The 22773-nt window shown below is 52.4% G+C and overlaps 1 protein-coding gene across 1 annotated transcript, besides 5 other annotated features; it reads right to left on the bottom strand.

Annotated features, from left to right (window-relative positions):
• Positions 1–1914: 1914 nt before the first annotated feature.
• On the bottom strand, positions 1915–18605 carry MFSD2B (MFSD2 lysolipid transporter B, sphingolipid). The gene is made up of 14 exons (NM_001346880.2): positions 18498–18605; positions 15280–15405; positions 12410–12534; positions 11722–11845; positions 11326–11404; positions 11102–11232; positions 6952–7042; positions 6720–6841; positions 6174–6257; positions 5788–5868; positions 5451–5560; positions 4964–5107; positions 4419–4595; positions 1915–3258 (listed from the first exon to the last, which is right to left on the bottom strand). Exons 1-14 carry the CDS (start codon positions 18591–18593, stop codon positions 3234–3236), a joined length of 1515 nt encoding a protein of 504 aa, NP_001333809.1. The 5' UTR covers positions 18594–18605; the 3' UTR covers positions 1915–3233.
• Positions 4242–5227: an enhancer, noted in NCBI's record as "H3K27ac-H3K4me1 hESC enhancer chr2:24246333-24247318 (GRCh37/hg19 assembly coordinates)". NCBI's record gives its function as "activates a minimal SCP1, AML or CMV promoter by ChIP-STARR-seq in naive H9 embryonic stem cells {active_cell/tissue: H9 hESC(naive)}" and the evidence as "EXISTENCE:reporter gene assay evidence [ECO:0000049][PMID:30033119]".
• Positions 4277–4571: a silencer, noted in NCBI's record as "tiled region #11775; HepG2 Repressive DNase matched - State 25:Art, and K562 Repressive non-DNase unmatched - State 14:Gen5'". NCBI's record gives its function as "represses a minimal TATA promoter and a strong SV40 promoter by Sharpr-MPRA in HepG2 and K562 cells {active_cell/tissue: HepG2 | K562}" and the evidence as "EXISTENCE:reporter gene assay evidence [ECO:0000049][PMID:27701403]".
• Positions 6852–7468: an enhancer, noted in NCBI's record as "H3K4me1 hESC enhancer chr2:24244092-24244708 (GRCh37/hg19 assembly coordinates)". NCBI's record gives its function as "activates a minimal SCP1, AML or CMV promoter by ChIP-STARR-seq in primed H9 embryonic stem cells {active_cell/tissue: H9 hESC(primed)}" and the evidence as "EXISTENCE:reporter gene assay evidence [ECO:0000049][PMID:30033119]".
• Positions 11508–12063: an enhancer, noted in NCBI's record as "H3K27ac-H3K4me1 hESC enhancer chr2:24239497-24240052 (GRCh37/hg19 assembly coordinates)". NCBI's record gives its function as "activates a minimal SCP1, AML or CMV promoter by ChIP-STARR-seq in naive H9 embryonic stem cells {active_cell/tissue: H9 hESC(naive)}" and the evidence as "EXISTENCE:reporter gene assay evidence [ECO:0000049][PMID:30033119]".
• Positions 12064–12619: an enhancer, noted in NCBI's record as "H3K27ac-H3K4me1 hESC enhancer chr2:24238941-24239496 (GRCh37/hg19 assembly coordinates)". NCBI's record gives its function as "activates a minimal SCP1, AML or CMV promoter by ChIP-STARR-seq in naive H9 embryonic stem cells {active_cell/tissue: H9 hESC(naive)}" and the evidence as "EXISTENCE:reporter gene assay evidence [ECO:0000049][PMID:30033119]".
• Positions 18606–22773: the final 4168 nt, after the last annotated feature.

The following is a 22773-nucleotide window of genomic DNA, read 5'->3' as shown; positions in this document are numbered from 1 at the left end:
AACCATTCTCCTGTCTCAGCCTCCTGGGTAGCTCGGATTACAGGTGCCCGCCACCACACCCATCTAATTTTTGTATTTTTAGTAGAGATGGGGTTTCACCATATTGGCCAGGCTGGTCTCAAACTCCTGATCTCAAGTGATCTGCCTACCTCAGCCTCCCAAGTGCTGGGATTACAGGCATGAGCCACTGAGCCCAGCCTCTGCTGGATAATTGAGGGGTCCCTCTGCAGAGTTCCTGACTTCATGCTCTGCATTGCTCTGTGTGGTAAATTTCATTTGCCAGGTTTTTTGTGTTCTTTTTTTGAGACAGAGTCTCTCTCTGTCGCCCAGGCTGGAGTGCAGTGGTGTGATCTTGGCTCACTGCAACCTCTGCCGCCTGGGTTCAGGCGATTCTCCTGCCTCAGCCTCCTGAGTAGCTGGGATTACAGGCGCCTGCCACTGTGCCTGGCTAATTTTTGTAGTTTTAGTAGAGATGGGGTTTCACCATCTTGGCCATGCTGGTCTTGAACTCCTGACCTCGTGTTCCCGCCTCGGCCTCCCAAGGTGCTGGAATTGCAGGCGTGAGCCACCACACCCAGCCGATAGGTTTTTTAATGCTAAACTTTGCATTCTTGGAATAAACCCAGTATGTTCATGGTGTATTTATTTTTTATACGTTGCTACTCATTTTGCTATTATTTTGTTTAAGATTCTTCCTTTCCCTGTTAATGGGTAAGATTAGCCCGTAAATTCTTTTTTTATTTTTGAGACAGGGGCTTGCTCTGTTGCCCAGGCTAGAGTGAGTGGCACTATCACAGCTCACTGCAGCCTCAACCTCCTGGCCTCAAGCAGTCCTCCTACCTTAGCCCCGCAAGTAGCTGGGACTACAGGTGTGTGCCACCACACCCAGCTAATTTTTTTAAAATTTTTTGTAGAGATAGGGTCTCCCTTTGTTGCCCAGACTTTTCTTGAAATCCTGGGCTCAAGTGACCCTCCCACCTTGGCCTCCCAGTGTCCCAGGATTACAGGCTTGAGCCATCACACCTGGCCTCTTTCCTTTTTAATGTGCTTGGCTGGTTTTGGTAAGAAGCTTACTCTGGCCTGATAGAATGAGTAGCAGAGTGTGCCTTCTTTTTCTGCTCTGTGGAGGAGTTTGTGTGAGGTAGGAATGATCCTTGATTGAAAGTTTGCTAGAACTTGGAAATATCATTTGGTCTCATGTTTTCTTTGTGGGAATATTATTATTATTATTATTATTATTTTATTTTTTTTTTTTGAGATGGAGTCTCGCCCTGTCACCCAGGCTGGAGTACAGCGGCGCGATCTCAGCTCACTGCAAGCTCTGCCTCCCAGGTTCATGCCATTCTCCTCCCTCAGCCTCCCGAGTAGCTGGGACTACAGGCGCCTGCCACAACGCCCGGCTAATTTTTTGTATTTTTAGTAGAGATGGGGCTTCACCATGTTAGCCAAGATGGTCTCGATCTCCTGACCTCGTGATCCGCCCGCCTCGGCCTCCCAAAGTGCTGGGATTACAGGCGTGAGCCACCGCCCCTGGCCCTTTGTGGGAATATTTTTAAATATTTATTTAATCCTTTAATATTTATGAGACTAAAAGGAGAAACTATTTTTTTCTGTAACCACAGAACACTTCTGACATCAGATGTGTGGGTTTTTCTACACCAAGCGATTCTTCAGTTCTCTATGGACATAACTGGGTACCCTACAATTTCATTCAGTTCTGATACTACCCAGAGTTAGTGCAGACCCAATAGGTTACGGGCTCAGTCCAACAGGCTGATCCCCACTTCCAATACCAGTTGCAAGTAGTGGGTCTCCAGGCGATACACACTTCTCTCCAGCTTGGCTGCAAATAGGGGATTCCCACAAAACCCTCCTCAGATTCGATAATTTCCTATAATGCATAGAACACAGAGAAACACTTTACTTAACATTTATTGGTTGATTATAAAATGAACAGCCAGCTGAAGAGGTATATAGAATGAAATCTAAAAGGGTCCCCTACACAAGAGTTTCTGTCCCCGTGGAGTGGGGTAGACCTCCTGGTACATGGATGTGTTCACCAACCTAGAAGCTCTCTGAAACCCTTCGTTTGGAAGTGGAGGCTCCATTACATGGGCACAATTGATTAAATCATTGATGATGAGCTCAGTCTTCAGCCCCTGTCCCCTCCCGGTAGGAAGATAAGGCTGAAAGTTTCAACCTTCTAATCACATGGTTGGTTTCTCTGGCAACCAGCCCCCATCCTCTGCCAGTCACATCATTAGCATAAACTCAGATCTGTTTGAAAAGGGCTTCTTATGTATAACAAAAGATGTTCCCCTCACCCCTACCACTCAGGAAGTTACTAGCATTTTAGAAGCTCTGTGCCAGGAACCTGGGGCAGAGACCAAATGTGTATTTCTTATGTCACAGGGACCATTTAGGATTTCTATATATTTATATACATACATATATATACTCTGTTCAGTTACGCTTGTTTTGAAAACCCAAATTTGTTCTAACATGGCTGTGATATTAGAGAATGAGTACAGCATAATGTGAATTTCCTGTTACTTACACACCAATTTTGTCCTTAAGAAATGCTAGAGCTGGGAACGGGGGCTGTGTCTGTAATCCCAGCTACTCAGGAGGCTGAGGCAGTAGGATCACCTGAGGCCAGGAGTTTAAGACCAGCCTGGGCAGGCCGAGTACGGTGGCTCATGCCTTTGGGAGGCTGAGGCGGGGCGGATCACGAGGTCAGGAGATCGAAACCATTCTGGCTAACACGGTGAAACCCCGTCTCTACTAAAAATACAAAAATTAGCTGGGCGTGGTGGCGGGCACCTGTAGTCCCAGCTACTCGGGAGGCTGAGGCAGGAGAATGGCGTGAACCCGGGAGGCGGATTTTGCAGTGAGCCGGCTGTAACGTTTTCTTGAATGGGTGGTAGGCCACAGATATTACTGGTCCACAAGCCAGGTTGGGCAGGAGCTTCCTTTTTCTAGAGACAAGTGCTACTGGGCTAGTCAGGGGCACAGGCCTATCTGAGATAGTCTGAAGGCAACAGACAAGAAATGCCAAGTGGGGTCCTGGAGTGCGGGCCAGTCCCTTCAGGACACGTTGCCGAAGACTCCACATCCCAGGGAGAAAGGTCACATACTAAACTGCCAGACCAGGTGCTGGAGGGCTGAGGAGGGCGATGTCAGGCCCCGAGGGTGCTGGCTCCTGTGTCCATTCACAGTCGCCCTCCTAAGCTTTAGGCCAGGCTGTAGCTGGTCCTCCTGTGGGAAGGGAAGGAAGCCAAGGAGAAGGATGGAAGTGGTGTGGGCCCTCTGTCCTGCCGCAGAAGCCCGCGGAAGGTTTGGTGGCTGCTCCTTGTCTTCCCAGCAACTCCTCTTCAACTCCTCCCCTCCCAAGTCCTGTAGATGAGCTACAACCCTGTTTCTCCAAGTGTCATCAAGCAGTTCCCCATCCGCCTGGCCTTCCCTGACTGGGAAGCATGCCCTCAGTATCTCTCTGCTGCAGAGCCCGAGGCCGTCACCCTCAGCAGGGAGTGGCTGATGACAAGGCCACCCACTGCCTGTCCCGCGTGGGCCTGCATGATATGTGCATGCTCGTGGACCTTACTTGTGTGAACATTGGGTGCTTGTGCACGTCTGCTGGACCAGACGTGGTGATGCTGCAGCAGTGATTCCTGAGTACCTGCTTGGCCTCAGGCTCTGTGCTGGGCTCTTGGGATACAAAAAGGAATAAAACAGCCAGCCTCAGCCTTCAAGGTTCCCATAGCCTCCCCGGAAGGTCAGACAGTGAGTAGATCCTCCCCGTCAGTGGGGTCGGTGTTCTGGTAGGGGAAGGACCAGGTCAGAGACCTGCTCAGTATTGCCCGTGGGAGGGAAGAGCAGAAGACTCCTAGGCTTCCACCCAGAGGGAACGATGGTGTCATTCACCAAGACAGGGACACAGAAGGAGGAGCCAGTTAGGGGGACAAGATGAGTTCCATTGAGGCTCATCGAGACTGAGTGCCAGGCTTGTGGGCTACTAGGTGGAAATGTCCACATGCCAGTGATATGCGGCTGTGGAAGTTGAGGGAAGCACAGGCTGGAGGGGCAGCTCTAGCAGTCACCAGGCACAAGGAGTGCCTGAGTTGGGTCAGGCTAGCAGAAGAGGTACCAAGGGGGCTTTGGAGAGCAAAAGCAATAGGAGATCAAGGAGTGAGCCCTCACATACCACAGTCTACCAGGTGATCAAAGGAAGAAGACTGAGAAGGGGTGGCCAGAGTGGGAGAAGAAAATCCAGGAGAAAAGGGTGACCCTGAGCTAAGGAAAGAGGTCCCAGAGGCAGGACTGTGTGACACAGCAGGGATGTCTGCAGGCTGGTGTTAGTCATTCCCCCAGCAGCCCACACTGTGCCTCGCTGGCTGCAGGGGGCGTGCGGGGCTTACCTCCGAAGGCTCAGCCGGCTGGAGGCGTCCCGACTGGGTGTCTTTGGAGTGGAGCCGACCATGAGGATGCAGAGCCCAGCAAGGATCATGCAGGTGGGCACGGCGCCAATGAGGACTTTGAGGGTGACCACCACCTCCTCTGCTTGCTTGCAGACCCCTGCCTTATACCCCGAGAACCTGGAGAAACATCAGCCAGCCATTAGGGCAGGGCCTGCTGAGCCTGGCACCCTGGGTGGAGGGACTCGACACCTCACCCCACCCCACCCCCTCCTGAAACGTGGACTTCATTTCCTGGTCAGATCAGGAGAGGAGTGTCAAGGTGACAGGCTGACCTGGGAGAGTTTAGAGGGAACTGAGAATAGGGGAGCTGGCCCTCTCAGTCTCATGCACAGAGAAACCTGGGGAAGTGGTTCCCCACACTCTCCAAAGAGTAGCGCTTAGGCCCCAGGCTCATGGATGCCCTGAGCTTGGTAGGTGAGGGGCTTTGCCCTCTTCCTGCCCACTGGTCCTTGGTGCCTCTGCTGTATCCTAACCCTGGGACTCACTCCAGACTGAGGGTGGAGATGCCCAGGGCACATGCGCCAGACAGCTTGGTGAAGAAGACGTAGGAGGAGTAGAAGATGGTCTCCAGGCCTGGCCCGTGACGGTGCTGCAGCTGAAAGTCATCCACCACGTCTGGCAGCATGGACCTGCGGCGGGGGTGTGGAGTTAGCCCTCCTAGCCCCTTGGCCACCAGCAGCCTGTGAATTCTCTGGGGACGGAGGCCAAAGTGGATTCATCCCTGAGTTCTGTGCCCAGGACCAGACTGGCCACCAGAGAAGCAGATGGCCTGTGTGCTCGTACCCCCCGCCAGCCCCCTGCCGGCCCCCCGCCATTCCTACTGCCTGATGTCCTCTCAGGAGGGCTCTGAGGATGGAGCTGGTGGCCTCCATCTCCTGCACAGGCTGGGTGCAGGGGGCCTGGGACGGCAGGTTTACATGAAGGAGGTGACACCCACTGTGGACACACGTGAGGCCCCCACACCCAGCCTACCAGGGTAGCAGCAAGGACACAGCAATGCTCACGCCAGATACAAAGGCCACGACATATGCCACAGGTGCTGTGGGCACAGCAGCCAGCAAGATCGCAAAGGGCACCATCGCCTGGGGAGACACACACACCAGCTGTCCCGCCACCTGCTTCTTCGTGGGGCCTGCTCCTTCACACACGACTCGACTGACGACCCCCATGCCTTGCCCTGTGCTAGGCCCTAAAGACTCAAGGGAACACAGATCCACCCCTGCTGGCCCCAGGAGGCTCAGGCACCAAGGTCACCTCGCTCACCTCTCCCCTCCGGCCACCCCCAATCCTTGATTCCCGCCTCACTCACAAAGATCCCAAAGGCTGACGTCTTCTTCCCAAAGCGCTGGAGAACCCACTCCCACAGCGGGGTGCTCAGCACGGCTGAGACCTGTGAGCAGACAGCATCGTCACGCCAGGGCCGTGCTGCCAGCGCCTTTGCCTGGGACCCCAAGGCCTTGGCTTTTAGATTGGATGCCTGACCTTGGCCTTGCCCCTGGTTCAAACCGGTGGCTATGAATGTTGTAATCCTGGCCCCAATTCTACCCTCTGCTGGAATGCAGGTGACCAAGACCAAAGCAAAGTCCAAAATGTTGACCACCAGAACTCTGGCCATATGTGTCACATCAAGGACCACACATGTCCCCAGCTCAGGGCCCCAAGTGACCTAGCCTCCACCACCCCAGGCCCCCTCACCAGGACAGTTAGTACCAGGCCCTGGACGTGGTCGTGTAGCTGGGAGGCATGTGTACAGAACAGGACCAGGTAGCTCTGCTCCACCTGAGGAGATGGACAGGAAGTGGGTATGTGCAGGGCATGGCAGGAGCTCAGAAGTCAAGGGCAAGGACAGGGTCTGGAGTCTGGCATCTCCATTGGGACCTTGGCTTGCTGCTACCATCATACAGTCCCTTCCCCCACAAAGGACACTTATCCCCAACACAGATACAAACACCACTCCTAGGCCACCCTCATCACCTGCTCAGCTGTGATCAGGTGGACTTGACTACACTTCAGGTAATGTGAGAGGAAACCGCCCAGACATTGTCAGCCTCCTAGTGCCCAGGCCCTGGCCCTCCATTCCCACAAGCCCTACCGGGATCTCCCTCCCGGCACCAGCCCCTCTGAGCCATGTGCCAGCCGCAGGTTTCTCCCTATAAAACTCAAGCCAAGACTGCACCCTGAACCTATGCAAGGTCAGCATGGCCAGCACCAAGCCTGTCGGGGGCAGCTGGCCAGAGGTACCTGAACAGCAGCAGAGATGAACAGGAAGGAGATCACCAGCTTCAGGTAGGGTGGGTGCCGGGTAGTGAGGCTCAGCCCAGCCAGGAAACTCAAGCCTGGGCCTGAGGCTGGGGCAGAGGGGTCTGCAACGCAGAAGCGTGTCACCTTGGCTTCGCAGAGTTCAAAAGCAAAACCTGCCCCCAAGCAGAGCCCTGCCCCCAGCTTCTGCTTCCCTCCTCACCAAACCCCATACCTGGCCGCTCCTTCACCCCTAGGCACAGTAAACTGATGCACACGGGGTAAGTCACTACAACCACGGCAGCCGCAATGCAGTAGAGATGGGCCTGTGGGACAGGACAGGACTGGGATGGGTGATGTCTTCAACCCCTGGAGGTGGTGACACCGGAGGGGCAGGGCAGTACTGCCTCCCAGTGGGAGCGGAGGGAGGCACAACCCAAGCCCAGGACGCTGGGTCCCCACCTCCCAATCACCCCACAGGACAGCATGCTCTCCGGGCCCGGGCTGGTCCTTCCACACACCCCCTCTGCTGACCCTGTGTTCCCTGCATGGCAAAGAGGACACATGCCCCAGGAGCCAAAGTGCTCCTTCCCACATTCTATGAAGCAAACATTGACTGCTGCTGCCTTCCGCATGCCAGGCCCTGAGGCTCCAATGATGAATAAGTGAGCCCTGTCCATCCACAGGGCTCAGAGTGTGGGGAGGAAGACAGATCCAGGAGCAGGTGGTTACAGCACGGTGAGATGCATGGTGACTCAGATTAATGGAGGAAGCAGGGCCGGGCGCGGTGGCTCATGCCTGTCATCCTAGCACTTTGGGAGGCCAAGGTGGGTGGATCATTTGAGGTCAGGAGTTCCAGACCAGCCTGGCCAACATCGTGAAACCCCATCTCTACTAAAAATACAAACATTTAGCTGGGTGTGGTGGCGGGTGCCTGTCATCCTAGCTACTCAGGAGGCTGAGGCAGGAGAATCACTTGAACTGGGGAGATGGAGGTTGCAGTGAGCCGAGATCACAGTACTGCACTCCAGCCTAAGCGACAGAGCGAGACTCTCATCTCAAAAGGAAAAATAAAAAATAAAAATAAAAAATTAATATAGGAAGCAGGGACAGGCACGGTGGCTCATGCCTGTCATTCCAGCTCTTTGGGAAGCTGAGGCAGGTGGATCCCTTGAACCCAGGAGTTCAAGACCAGCCTGGGCAACATGGCAAAACCCCATATCTACCAAAGAAAATACAAAAATTAGCCAGGTGTGGTGGTGTGCATGCACCTGCAGTCCCAGCTACTAGGGAGGCTGAGGTGGCAGAATCGCTTGAGTCTGGGAGGTCGAGGTTGCTGTGAGCTGTGATTGCACCATTGCACTCCAGCCTGGGTGGCAGAGTAAGACCCTGCCTCTGTATATATAGGAAGCAGGACAGTGCTACTTGTCATTCAGAGAAGAATACATATGCATTAAAATGCCTATAAAGACATGCACGAGAGTCACAGCCAGTTCGGGACAGAGGCTGCCTCTGGGGAGGGGAGGAGAGGGAGGGCGCAGGGTGGGGCAGGGCACTCATCCTGTGCAACCGCCCTGGGCCTCATGCTCTGGAGGGCACTGCCTCTGGGGTTCAATGCTCTGCTGTTGCTGTCTTGAGATTCTTAATAATTTTATAATGGATTTCAATTTTGTAAGTGAAATCTGATGGGACAGTGGGTTGTGAGCCACCAAGAGCATCCAGTCTCTGCTCACATGAGGCTCTGCCCCCTGGGCATGGGTTCTCAGCCTCCTGCTCCCCACTCCTTGATACTTTCCCTTCCCCAACCCTTGTGTCACATCAAGGACCACACATGTCCCCAGCTCAGGGCCCCAAGTGACCTAGCCTCCACCACCCCAGGCCCCCTCACCAGGACAGCTAGCACCAGGTCCTGGACGTGGTCGTGTAGCTGGGAGGCATGTGTACAGAACAGGGCCAGGTAGCTCTGCTCCACCTGAGGAGATGGCATTGGCATTGGAGAGAGGCATGGGAGGCCTGAATGGGGGCGCAGATGTGAGTGCAGGGAGAGTCAGTCTAGGATACAGCCTTCTGGCCCTTGGCCAGCAGCAGCGTGTGGATTCGGAGGGTGGGGGCCTCTCACCTATCCCAATCCAGGTGCTTAGTGGACACCTAGAGGGTGCCAGTGCTGGAGGCTGCAATCCCCTGGCTGGGGCAGTAGGTGCATTGGGAAAGGGGAGATTGACTTTCCAAGGCCCTTCATTTTCATTTTGCAGAGTACATAGGCAAGGTGATTGCCCAGGCTGGAGTGCAATGGCGTGATCCCTGCTCACTGCAACCTCTGCCTCCTGGGTTCAAGTGATTCTCCTGCCTCAGCCTCCCAAGTAGCTGGGATTACAGGTGCCTGCCACCATGCCCGGCTAATTTTTGTATTTTTAGTAATGATGGGGTTTCACCATGTTGGCCAGGCTGGTCTTGAACTCCTGACCTCAAATGATCCACCCACCTCGGCCCCTCAAAGTGCTGGGATTACAGGCGTGAGCCACCGCACCTGGCTGTAACATTTTCTTGAATGGGTGGTGGGCCACAGATATTACTGGTATTCTTCTCATACTATTGATGCTGAGACATTGGTGGGGGCAGAATCCCCGGGAGGGCTTGTTAACATAGAGATTGCTGGGCCCGGTCCCTAGAATTAGTGAATCAGAGGACTGAGGTAGGGCCTGAGGATCTACCTTTCTAACAAGGTTCCAGGTGTTGCTGATGCTGCTGGTCCAGGGACCACACTAAGATCTGTGCCTCTCTGCCTTTGTGTAAATCTGAAATATTAACTTAAAAACAAGCACAGGTCGAGCGCGGTGGCTCACGCCTGTAATCCCAGCACTTTGGGAGGCTGAGGCGGGCGGATTACCTGAGGTCAGGAATTTGAGACCAGCCTGGCCAACATGGCAAAACCCCATCTCTACTAAAAATACAAAAATTAGCCAGGCGTGGTGGCGCATGCCTGTAATCCCAGCTACTCAGGAGGCTGAGGCAGGAGAATGGCCTGAATCCGGGAGACGGAGGTTGCAGTGAGCCGAGATTGCGCCCCTGCACTCCAGCCTGGGCAACAGATCGAGATTCCGTCTCAAAAAAAAAAAAAAAAAAAGCACAAAAGGCCAACACAGCAGGTTTCAGAGCACACAGAGGAGAGGCCTACATGAAGGCTGCGGAGGGCAGCCCATGCCCAGTCCTGAAGGCGAGGGCCACCCATGCTCAAACTCCTTTTTTTTTTTTTTTTCCAGAAAAGGATTTTTTTTAATTCAAGTAACTGCAAATAGGAAACCAGAGGGGGAGCCCCAGGCTGGGATAAATCATGGCTACCCCTCCCCAACAGAACAGGGGGAGGAGGTGGCCCCTACACCCATTATGGTCGATTCGGGCCCCCTTGCTCACTCTGCTGCAGCATCCTAGAGGCAGGGCCCCACCTTCCCTGGGACTGGGGTAGTCGGTCACCCAGCCTGCATTGCCCCAGCCCCTCTTCCCCACAAAGAGTATCTTGGGGGAGGGGATCGTGGGCAGAACAGGAGGCAATGAGGATGAACATTGCTCAAACTCCTTTCAAAGGGCACCTGACCGCACAGGGAGGTGGCAGAAGGCAAGGATGGGATGCCGTGTAAGAGGCGGAGGCAGCAGTTGTGGGGTGGAGAGGGAGGTAGTGGCACGGGCCGGGGCATGGCAGTGGGGTGCAGGGTGGCTGGATGCATCCCAGAAGACTTTTGGCCTAAAAAATGGGCAGGATTCGGTCATAGGTTGGAGAGTTGAGAGAGGGGAGGAGAAGAAGAGGACAGTGCTGGAGGATGGTAATGTCATTTACTTAAGGAAAGGGGGACATGGAAAAAGAGAAGGTAAATGTGGTGGATAAAATAGAGGTGTGTCCGCCCAGTGCTGAAGGGACCCGCCGTGAAAGGGAAGGAAGGGGGCTTCCCCCTCTCATTTCACCATTTCATGCTGCGGGTTGGGGGCTCACCTGGTCAGGGCTGGGGGAGGGGGCATGGGTCATAGGAAGGGCTTTACCCAGGGCTCTGCGAGGACAGCAGACCCCTCTGCTGCCCCCTCCCCTAGCCTGTCCTGCGGCTTTCCCCACCCTCGCCCCTCCTCTGGGGCTGGCCTCCTCTGCTCCAGGTGGCTGGCCCAGTGTCTATTCTATTTTATGTCTAGAAGGAACCCAGAAGGAGGCAGGTTTAGCAGAGGACGTTAGATTTGGGGGCCATCTGCTCAACTGGAGGAGCAGGGAAGGAATGAGGGGGCACAGTGAGCCCCCTAAAAGACAACAAAGTGGTGTGGACGGGAGAACCAGCCCTAGAGGAAGGAGGTGACCCTGCAGAGGGGACCCCAGGTTGGGGGGCCTTGCCACCCAGTGCACTTACTGCATTCGGGGAGACAGTGACTGGCCCCGGGGTCGCAGTGGCCTCGCACCTGTGGGGTCTGTGGGCGCCGGACACGATGAGCCCGTGGACAGTGGCCCCCATCAGTGTTCCCGCCATCTCCACAGTCATCCCTGGAGACAGAGTGCCACTTAAGGTGACTGAGAGGGAGTGGGGTCCCAGGGGCAGTTGCCTCCCTGGAACCCGAAACCCACGGCTGCACTCACGGTAGGCGGTGGCCGAGTCCCGCTCCCTTGGGCAGGGAGTCAGCAGCATGGTGAGCGCTGTGTAGGGCACCTGGAAGAACTGGGGCGTCGGCAGAGCTTAGAACCGCCCCCAGCTTTGCCTGGTGACAGCGGGCGACCTCCCCCATCCTGGGTGTCACATCCCGACACCCACAGGCCAACGTGACATATCCCAGCTGGCCACCTGAAGTCGGAGCTAGGGTCCCAAAGGCAGGAGGGGGCAGCCAGTCCCGCGCAAGGCTGGCGAGTGCCAATGGCATGGTCCAGGCACAGGCGGGTGGGGAGGGCGGCAGCCCTGCCCCCACAGCACACTTCAGAGTGGCCATGGCCAGCAATGGGCTTCGCCAGAGCACAGGCCCAGGAAGGGGCCCTGCTTACCGTGGCCAGGGCCTGGAACAGGCAGTAGAAAGTCGTGTACCAGAGGCCTCGCAGGCTGGTGAAGGGGGGCAGGAACCACAGGAAGAAGTAGGCCAGGGCGATGAAGGGGGTGCAGCCCAGCACCCTGCGGAAGCACAGCCGAGGTGGAGCGGCCCCCCGACCCAGACAGGGGAACACAAAGGGCCCAGCCTGGAGGAACCCCACCCCTTCTCTGCCCCTTGAGAATCCCTAGGCTGGGGCGCCCTGGGTGGGAGCCAGGAGCAGGGGAGAAGTGGCCGATGGGTCATGGAGGCAGTGGGGAATGGGCGGCCACTCCTCGTGGGAGCTCCAGCTGCACTCTCAGCGCTGCTGGTGCCCTTCCCTGTGTGGACATTGGGACACTGAGCTGTACTTCCTCCGTGAGGCCTCGCATGGCCTTCAGCCCAGCCTTCCCACACTCAGTGCCCCAGGCCAGGCCTGGGAGTCTTGGAGGCTTCATCCAGCCCCGTGCCATCTGGGGAGGGAGAGTCCCCAAGAATGTCTCTGAACTCCTTATCACTCACAGTCAGTCCCCAGTGCACCTGCGATATTATCCAGTCTTGTCTCCTAACCACCCAGTGGGTTTCTGCTAGGAAATAGGGCTGTGACAAACAGTGACCTCAGGGCCAGGACCAGGTGCCTGGATCCTAAGGACTGAGCGGTTGCTCACCAAGGCATGAGCCGTCCAGACCCTGTCCTCTGGCTCCTGTTGATGAAGAACCCAGCCACAGGGTCAGCAGCCGCCCCAGACACTTTTCCCCCAAACAGAACAAGTGACACCTGGGCGGCAGGGATCTGAAACAGACAGGGGAGGGGATAGAGAGCTGAGGCCCAGCAGCAGCAGAGAGCCCATCCAGGCCTGCTTGCCATCAAGAGGGAGGCCTGGGAACCGGGACCGGAGGGCAGAGCCACAGTGTCAAGGGCTCCTCAGCCTTCCCCAGGATGCTGATCCCGGGGCTGAGTCCAGGGGAGGGAGCTGAGTGCTGCCGCCCTGCACACTCCCATTAGTACTCATGTCAGCCACTGCGGAGAGGACTCCAGGGCCCTCATCTGGGGCTGGCTCAGAGCAAGGAGGGTGCCTCTGGGCTGACAGAGGTGGACACTGTGTTTCACAATGGAAAGGATTCACTGGTTTTTCTGACTATGTAAATAATACACTCATTAGAAAAACATTCTGGCTCAGAGCAAGGAGGGTGCCTCTGGGCTGACAGAGGTGGACACTGTGTTTCACAATGGAAAGGATGCATTGTTTTTTCTGACTATGTAAATAATACACTTATTAGAAAAACACTCAAACTATGCAGGAAAATACTAAGCAAAGCTCATCTGAAATCGCAGCATCCCAAGACAACTGCCAGAATCGTTTGGATGATCAGCCTTTCATAGGCTTCTTCATGTGTGCTTGAGATTGATCAGTTTATATAAATGGGATCATATCAGACTGTCATCTTAAACATTCGTGGATACCTCATTTTATTATTTTATTTTATTTTTTAATTGAGACAGGGCCTCGCTCTGTTGCCCAGGCTGGAGTGCAGTGGCACCATCTCGGCTCACTGCAACCACTGCCTCTTGGGCTCAGGTGATTCTCCCACCTCAGCCTCCCAAGTAGCTGAGACCACAGGCACGTTCCTCTACACCGAGCTAATTTTTGTATTTTTAAATTTTTTTTTTTTTTGTGGAGGTGGAGTTTTGCCATGTTGCCCAGGCTGGTCTTGAACACCTGAGCTTAGACGGTCCTCCCGCCTTGACCTCCCAAAGTGCTGGGTGTGTGAGCCACCATACCCGGCTGGATACCTCATTTTTTTGTTGTTGGTTTTTGTTTTGTTTTTGAGAGGGAGTCTTGCTCTGTCGCCCAGGCTGGAATGTGGTGGTGCAATCTTAGCTCACTGCAACCTCCACCTCCTGGGTTCAAGCAATTATCCTGCCTCAGCTTCCTGAGTAGCTGTGACTACAGGCGTGTGCCACCACGCCTGGCTAATTTTTGTATATTTAGTAGAAATGGGGTTCACCATATTGGTCAAGCTGGTCTTGAACTCCTGACCTCAAGTGATCCTCCCTCCTCGGCCTCGCAAAGTGCTGGGATTACAGCTGTGAGCCACCATGCTCGGCTGGATACCTCATTTTAAAAATTTGGTTTTACTTACCCTCCATTCTCCATCATTCCCTCCGGTAGCCAACATTAACGAGTTGGTGTATATCCTTCTAGAATTTTCTCCATGCTCACATTTTAAACATGGACAGATACATATGTATATATACATATCCATCCACACACACACATATGGAGCCTGTCTTTGTTTTGTTAAAATGGGATCATTTTATATACTCTTCTCTAAAACTAACTTTTCTTTTTCACCAGAGCATCATGGAAATCACTCTAAGTCAACTGGTATAGATCATTATTTTGAATGGCTGCATGATAGTCTATTTGATAGTGATGTTAGTGTAGTCTGTTGACTTCTGTGGGCCACACTGGAAGAAGAAGAATTGTCTTGGCCAGGCACGGTGGCTCACGCCTGTAATCCCAGCACTTTGGGAAGCTGTGGTGGATGGAACACCTGAGATCAGGAGTTCGAGACCAGCCTGGCCAACATGGCGAAACCCCGTCTCTACTAAAAACACAAAAATTAGCTGTAGACTGGGCGCGGTGGTCCACGTCTATAATCCCAGCACTTTGGGAGGCTGAGGTGGGTGGATCACGAGGTCAGGAGTTCAAGACCAGCCTGGCCAGCATGGTGAAACTGTTGTCTCTACTAAAAATACAAAAAATTAGCCAGGCATGATGGCACACACCTGTAATCCCAGCTACTCTGGAGGCTGAGGCAGGAGAATTGCTAAACCCGGGAGGCAGAGGTTGCAGTGAGCCGAGATCATGCCATTGCACTCCAGCCTGGGTGACAGAGCGAGACTCCATCTCAAAAAAAAAAACAAACAACAAATTAGCCGAGTGTGGTGGTGTGCACCTGTGATCCCAGCTACTCGGGAGGCTGAGGCATGAGAATCGCTTGAACCTGGGAGGCAGAGGTTGCAGTGAGCCCCAAGATCACACCACTGCACTCCAGCCTGGGCAACAGAGTGAGACTCTGTCTCAAAAAAAAAAAAAAAAAAAGAATCGTCTTGGGCCACATATAAACACATAAAATACACTAACACTAATGATAGCTAATGAGCTAAAAAAAAAAAAAAACAAAAAAATTCATACTGTTTTAAGAAAGTTTACAAATTTGTGTGGGGCCGCATTCAAAGCCGTCCCGCCGCGGGTTGGACAGGCTTGGTCTATTATGTGGCTATGATACAGCTTACTTAGCCAACTGCTTCTATATTGTCGGGGATCTACATTGTTTCTCATTTTCCCACTACAAACAGGCTGCAGTAAACATTCTTGAGTACCTTGCCCTCATTGGCTTCTGGCTTTTTGTTGAGCTCGTGTCAGAAGTGCTGTCTACAAGGATAGTGGGAGCAGAAGCAGAGGTGGGGGTGGAAGGACCAGACCCCAAGGAAGATGCCAGCAGAGACTGGGCTACTGCCCACACTTACCTGTGCTATATCAAGCAGGAAAAGCTGCAGGTAAAAGGCTGTGGCGCTGGAGGCTATCTGGTTGGGGACCCCACCAATGCCATAGCACACCTTTGTACAGAATGAGAGGCGACCGGCTCTGCTGTCCTGGAGGAGACACAGGAACTAAGCCCTTCTCCCAACAGACACAAAACAGGTCCCCACACCCCATGACTTCAGTAAACATCCTGAGTCTCTGTGATGTCTTCAGGGCTTTTCCAGCAACCTCTCAGCCCCATTTTGCCCCCATGTCATCCTAAGAGGAAGTGAGACGAAGAGAAAAAAGATCCTAAACCCTGACCTCTAAACATTTCCAGGGGGGAAGTTCTTCTGGACATCTTACCCTGGGCTTCCTGCTGAAGCCGCCATCATTTACTGAGTCAGCACGGCCGTGTAAGCTGCAGGTCAGGAGACCTGGGCTTGAGCCTGCCTTTGTCACCTACCCCTCTATGTGACCTTGAATAAATCACATCATCTCTCTAAGCCTGTTTTCCTCATCTGTCAAATGCAACATCCCTGCCAACTTCACAAAGTTGTTTCTTCGATGAGTAAATGAGGCGATAGCTCATTTACCCATAGCCTGCCTACCCACAGCCCTCCAGGGATGCCTGGCAGGCGTCTCAGCTTAGCATGGTCTACATACAGCTCCTGATGGCCATTCCATTGTCTAATCCAGCTCCTAGCAAATGGCACCGCTGGTCCCCTCAGTGGCTCAGGCCACAAACTTAGGAGTCATCTATTCTTCTTTCCAGTTCTTGTCTATCAGTGAATGCCTCCTAAGTGGCTTCTGTGTCTGCCCTTGCTCCCTACAATCCACTCCACCCAGCAGCCAGTGCTCTTGTAATAACATAAATCGCACAGTGGCTCATCCCTATAAACCCAGCACTTTGGGAGGCCGAGGTAGGTGGATTGCTTGAGCCCAGGAGTTGAAGACCAGCCTGCCCAACATGGCAAAACCCCATCTCTACTAGAAACACAAAAATTAGCCAGGCATAGTGGCCGCCTGTAATCCCAGCTACTCAGGAGGCTGAGGCAAGAGAATTGCTTGAACCAGGGAGGCAGAGGTTGCAGTGAGCAAATATCACACCACTGCACTCCAGCCTGGGTGACAGAGACTCAGTCATAAATAAATAAATAAATAATCAGATCCCATCTCCTCTCTGATTAAAACTCTCCAATGGCTTGCTATTGCAGGGTTTTTTTGTCTGTTTTTGTGTGTGTGTGTGTGTGTGTGTGTGTGTTTTGTTTGTTTGTTTGTTTGTTTCCAGATCCATGGTATTCAGTCAATACCATTGCAGTTTGAATAAAACTCCAAGTCCTGATCATGGCTAAGGAGTCCACCCAGTCGGCCCCCTACCCACCTCACCTCAAATAGCTCTCCTTCAGCCACGCCGGGCTCCTTCCTATTCCTCAAAATCATCAAGTCTGTTGCTGCCTCAGGGCCTTTGCCCTTCCCATTCCTCTGCCTGGAAGGTGACTCCTTGTCATTCTGGTTTGATGTCACCAGCTTAAATGTCACCTCCTCCAAGAGGCATTCCCTAACCTCTCACCTCTCTCAGTTGTACTTACCGCCTGCTATATTTTCATTTAGTTCCTGCCTCTCCCTACAGGAATGTAAGCTCTCTGAGAGCATGAACTCCACCTTTTATTTATCATGGTGTTTCCAGTACCTAGAACAAAGCTTGGTATACAGTAGGTGCTTAGTATATATCCGTTGAAGCAATAAATGGCCATGAAGACCCTGTGTAAAGTGCTGTTTCTTTGGAAGAAGCTGGGCTCTTTTCTCATCGTTTGCTGGGGGCTGGAGGGAGTGGAGATGACATGGCTTCACCCATTTCCACATCTTGCAGGACACCCCAGCAGGCTCTTGTGAAGGGAAGGTCTCCCCAGATAAGGGTTTATCACACTTTGCACACTCTTCCTACCCACAGGGGAAAACCACACTGGGGGCAGGATGATTCTTTTCTGACATTTGTGTGAACATCATTTCAGCTTCCAGAAAACTTTAAGAACAGGCAGAATTCAACGTGACAGTCCCCCTCTCCCCCTAATGGGGACTCTTGTATCCCCCAAAACAGGCCTAGCAAGTTTTTAGAACTTTAGAAAGAACTTCCAAGTGAAGCCAGGGATATGATCCCATCTTGCCGTCTTGAGGATGACAGTTTTACCGAAAGTCATAAAAGCCCGGTACAGCTGTACAGTGAGCTGTACAAGGAGAAGCCCCTTGGGAGGGGCGGCTCCGGGCGAGGGGCGCAGCCCTGCTATCTCTAGCTGCGTGACCCAGGGCAGGGCACCTCGGTCTCCTTGGAGTGACCGGGGCTGCCACCCCTCGGAGAGTCGTAAGAGGATTCCACGCCGGAACTTCATCAGCAATGCGAGTGTTTCCCTCTTGCTGTTAATCTCACCCTGAATTTCTAAGTTTCCCTGGGAAGTGAGAGTCCCCGGAGAGCCCCTTCATCTCACCTCACTTTCTTGTGGGATGCAATCCTGTGCTCCCAGGTGCCTCGTAGGAAGCCCTGAACAGGCTGGGGGCTGAGGTGGTCAGGGGAGGCCACAGAATGCCCTGGGCACGAGCAGGGAGCAGGCGCGTTCAGTGAGGCCCAGGAAGCCCCAGGCCCCTTGCTCCGTCCAGCACAGCCCCACTGGCCAGCACGGCCCGGCGGCATCGGGCAAGGGACAAGGGGCCCCGAAGACCCCGCCGCTCCCACCTGCCCTCCTCCCTTCTTGTCGGAGCCCATGGCCAGGACCTTCCCTGAGGCTGCCTCCAAGGGGAGCCTGGTGCCTGGGCGAGGCCAGGGTCTGGGAGGGAGGCCGAGGCCACAGCAGCTGCCTGAGGTCGGGAAGGACGCAGCCTCCCCAGGCGCTTCAGAAAGCCCTGCCTGCCCAGAGCTCGGGGACCCCGGGAGGACCTGCGGTGGCACGGACAAGACCCCTAAGCCGGGAATCAGGACAGCAATGACCACGCATCCCCAAGTTACTTCCTTGGCTAGGGCTAGGCTTCCCGTCCTAGTCTCTTTCCGGCGCCGGCACCTACCAGCCTCCCCGCTCCCAGCCGTGTAACCCCGCGAGGGCAGCCCCTGAGCTGGCAGGTTTGGGCCGAGCCCCTCCGGGCTGCCCCCAGCTGGAAAAGGGGCTGCGAGGCGACGCCCTGGAGCTCCCCGAGGACGCAGCCCCTTCCCGGTCCCCGCCGCCCCGCTCACCTCTCGCCCTCGCTTGGCGCTCCCCGGGCCGGGCTCTGGGGCGTGCGGCTCCGGCTGCGGGGACCCCTTGGCGGCTGGTGCAGGGGGCGCCGCCATTGCCACCGCAGCGCCGCCCGCGGCCGTTGCCCTCGGGGTTATCGCCCTTGGGAGGGGCGGTTCTGGGCTAGGGGCGCGGCGCGAGTGGCTGCTGGCAACGCGGGGGAAACGCAGAAACCGCGAAGGGCACCCCAAAGGGAAACAGCGAAGAACCAAAATCCGCGGGGGGAAAGGCCCGGCAGGCCCTCAGGACCGTTCTCCTTGGGGTGGATCCCCGGGGGCGTGAGCGCCCGCAGACGGCGGCCCTGCGCGCTAAGGGCTCCGCCAGACCGCTGGGGTGACCGCGGGCAAGCAGCAGCTCCCCTGCAAAATGAAGCAAGAGGCCCGCTCGTTCAGGCTGGACCATGGCTGAACAGGCATTCCGCCGGCTACACATGATGCCCAACGCCTGAAATATACATTGTCGAGTCTCCTATACAGACCACGGGGATGGCCAGTAACTAAGTTCTGGCCAGCGAATAAAAGCAGGTGGCACAGGCCAACATTCCAGAAAAGTCCTTAAAAGGGAAGGGGGGTGACAGCAGGTAGCTAGTCAGCCTCGAAAAGGGCAGGAGAGGGCCACGCTTCCAACCAGGTACGTCAGGCAACCATCAGGCGACAGTCAGGCGGTTGTTATGCTCCCTCTAAAATGATCATTGATCCAGCGGGGCCAGGGAAAGGCAGTCTCCCAATAGATAGAGAAAACCTGAAACTGGTGATCAGCTTCTCGGTAAGATCTCAGGAGCTGGGCAAGTGGGCTTACACAAATTGCGGAGTTTAACTGACATGTGACCCTCGAAGGACACCGGACTGGTAAGGGAAGAACGCCTCCAGTGAGCATGGGTACAACTCCAGTATACACAGTGTGCACACTCCCCTCCCAAGTGCTGGCAGACCACTGCCCATGCAGGCAGGCCTCCCAAGGGAAGAATCAGGGGAGAAGGGATGCAAGACCCCAGAAGTATGCCAATGCATAAGACCCCAGGTCAAAAGGTCAAACTGTGCGCTTCTTTTTCAGGTCACCCGCTTGGCCCTCTTCCAAGTGTACTTTCCTTCCTTCCATTTCTGCTGTAGAGCTTTTTAATAAACTTTTATTCCTGCTCTAAAACTTGCCTCAGTCTCTCCTTCTGCCTTATGCCCCTCAGTGGAATTCTTTCTTCTGAGGAGGCAGGAACTGAGGTTGCTGCAGACCCATATAGATTCACTCCTGCTGACATATTTTGGTGCCACGTGACTCAGATACCTTCCACCAGTAACAGGGGTACACATTAACTAAAAATGCATCATAGACCTAGAATGTAAAACTTATGAAAAAACAGGAGCAAGGGACAGGCACGGTGGCTCATGCCTGTAATCCCAGCTACTCGGCAGGCTGAGGCAGGAGAATCGCTTGAACCCGGGAGGCGGAGATTGCAGTGAGCCAAGATCGTGCCACTGCATTCCAGCCTGGGTGACAGAGGGAGACTCTGTCTCAAAAACAAAAACAAAAACAAAACCAACCAAACACAAAAAACCCAGAAGCAACTCTTCATCATATTGGGCCAGGCAATTGTTTCTTAGGACGCCAAAAGCACAAGCTGGATGAACTACAAAAGTTTTCAAAATGAAAACCTTTGTGCTGTAAACGATTCCAACAAGTGGGTATAAAGACAACCCACAGAATGGGAGAAAAGGGATTTGTATTGGAATCAACTTTCACAACTCAACAATTAAAAGACAATCCAATTCTAAAATGGGCAAAGAATTTGGATATTTCTCTAAAGATATACAAATGAACAGTAAGCACATGGAAATACAAATCGAAACTACAGTGAGACACCATTTCATATCCACAGGGTGGCTGTAATTAAAATGAGACAAGTATTGGGGAGGATGTGGAGAAATCAGAACCCCTATACACTGCTAGTGGGAATGGAAACTAGTGACAGTCCTTTGGAAAAGTTTGGCAGTTTCTCAAAGTAAAACGTGGAATTACCACATGACCCGCAATTCCACTCTTAGGTGTATACACCCTACAGAAATGAAAACATGTTCACATAAAATCTTGAACATGAATGTTCATTAGCAGCATTCATATATATATACATATATATATAATGTGTGTGTGTATATATATATGCCAAAGAGGACACAAGCCAATGTCCATCAGGTTATGAATGAATAAATATAATGTGGTATATCCATACAATGGACTACTGTTGGGCAAGAAAAAGGAATGAAGGACCAATGCATGCTACAACACAGATGAACCTTGATGACAGTATGCTAAGTAAAAGAAGCCAGTCACAAGACTACAAATTGTATTATTCCATTTATGTCAAATGTCTAGAATAGGCAAATAGAGAGTGACAGAATGTACATTTGTAGTTGCTTGGGACTGGGCTAGGGAGTTACTGCTAAGGCATGTGAGGTTTTAGAATGGACAAACATTTTCTAAAGTTAAATTGTGATGGTTGCACAACCCTATAAATACACTAAAAACCATTGAATTGTATACTTTATTTTTATTTATTTATTTTTTTGAGACAGAGTCTTGTTGCCCAGGCTGGAATGCCGGGGCACGATCTCGGCTCACTGCAACCCCCACCTCCCGGGTTCAAGTGATTCTCCTGTTTCAGCCTCCCGAGTAGCTGGGATTACAGGCATGTGCCACCACTCCCGGCTAATTTTTGTATTTGTAGTAGAGATGTGCTTTCACCATGTTGGCCAGGCTGGTCTTGAACTCCTGATCCTCAGGTGATCCACCTCGGCCTCCCAAAGTGCTGGGATTACAGTGAGCCATCGGCCTAGCCTGAATTGTATACTTTAAATGGGTGAATTGCACAGCATGTGAATTACATCTCAATAAAGCTGTTTAAAAGGAAAGATATCTGCTTCTTCCTATTGGCTGAAATACAAATGTGTCGGCTGGTGCTAGTGCAGCTACCCTGAGACCCCAAGTCTACAGAGTGATGAGATTGGCAGATCAACAGTACAGGAATCTGATGATTTTATGAGGTTGATCTACCAGCCCTGAACTGCTTCCCTCTGGACTTTTGCATGGGAAATAAAATTTGACCTTGTAAGCAACTATTATTCTGGATTTTCTGTCACAGCTAAATCTAATCCTAAAGGATACACTACCCAGTTTAGAGCAAGTCATTCCATTTTATATGTCTTAATTCCTTAATCTACAAAATGGGTACATTTTGTTTCCCTGATTGCAAATACAAGGATAGATTAGATAATGCATGTGCTAAATATTTAATTCCTTGGAAATTAAATATAAACTAAAGCCAAAGTTTCTTTAGATAATCTACTTTTACAATTTGTGGGTTTTTTTTTTTTTTCCTTTCTGTGGAGAATAGGATCTTGCTATGTTTCTCCGACTGGTCTCGAACTCTTGGGCTCAAGCTTTATTCCTGCCTCTGCCTCCCTAAGTGTTGGGATTACAGGCGTGAGCCACTGTGTTCAGCTAGATAATCAATCTACTTTCAAGTACATCCTACTGATACGCATTTTTAAAAGGTTTGGAAATATTGCATTCTCAACACTTGTACTTTGTTGTTTATACTACTGCAATTTTAAGTTTGAAAGGCAGCAGGTAAAAACAATTTTAAAAATTAAAAAATGACTGGGCACAGTGGCTTACACCTGTAATCCCAGCACTTTGGGAAGCTGAGGTGGGTGGATCACCTGAGGTCAGGAGTTCAAGACCAGCCTGACCAACATGGCGAAACCCCGTCTCTACTAAAAAAACATAAAATTAGTCAAGCGTGGTGGCGGGCTCCTGTAATCCCAGCTACTTGGGAGGCTGAGGCAGGAGAATCGCTTGAACCTGGGAGGTGGAGGTTGCAGTGAGCTGAGATCGCACCATTGCACTCCAGCCTGGGCAACAAGAGTGAAACTCCATCTCAAAAAAAAAAAAAAAATTAAACAATAACTCTTTTGGACAGCAAAAAATGTAATTATAATAAAAGTCATTTCCCTAACAGTCAGTATTCTATTTAAAGTGATGGTAAGTTCATAATGTAATTTTTAATGCAAAAGACAAATTAGATTTCAATAAAGTAGGATTAAATAACAAAGGCAGCTGCCTTTTAATTAAAACAAGACTAAAAGCTGATATACTAAAAAATATCTGAAAGGATGCACATCAAAATGTTACTAGTAGTTTTTAATTTCTAATTTTTATTTTTTACTTTTTTCTTTTTCTTTTTTT

Source organism: Homo sapiens, chromosome 2 (genome assembly GCF_000001405.40).
Source record: "Homo sapiens chromosome 2, GRCh38.p14 Primary Assembly".
Lineage (NCBI taxonomy): Eukaryota > Metazoa > Chordata > Mammalia > Primates > Hominidae > Homo > Homo sapiens.
The sequence above is the reverse complement of the archived record's forward strand: the minus strand, read 5'-3'. Positions and strand labels throughout refer to the sequence as shown.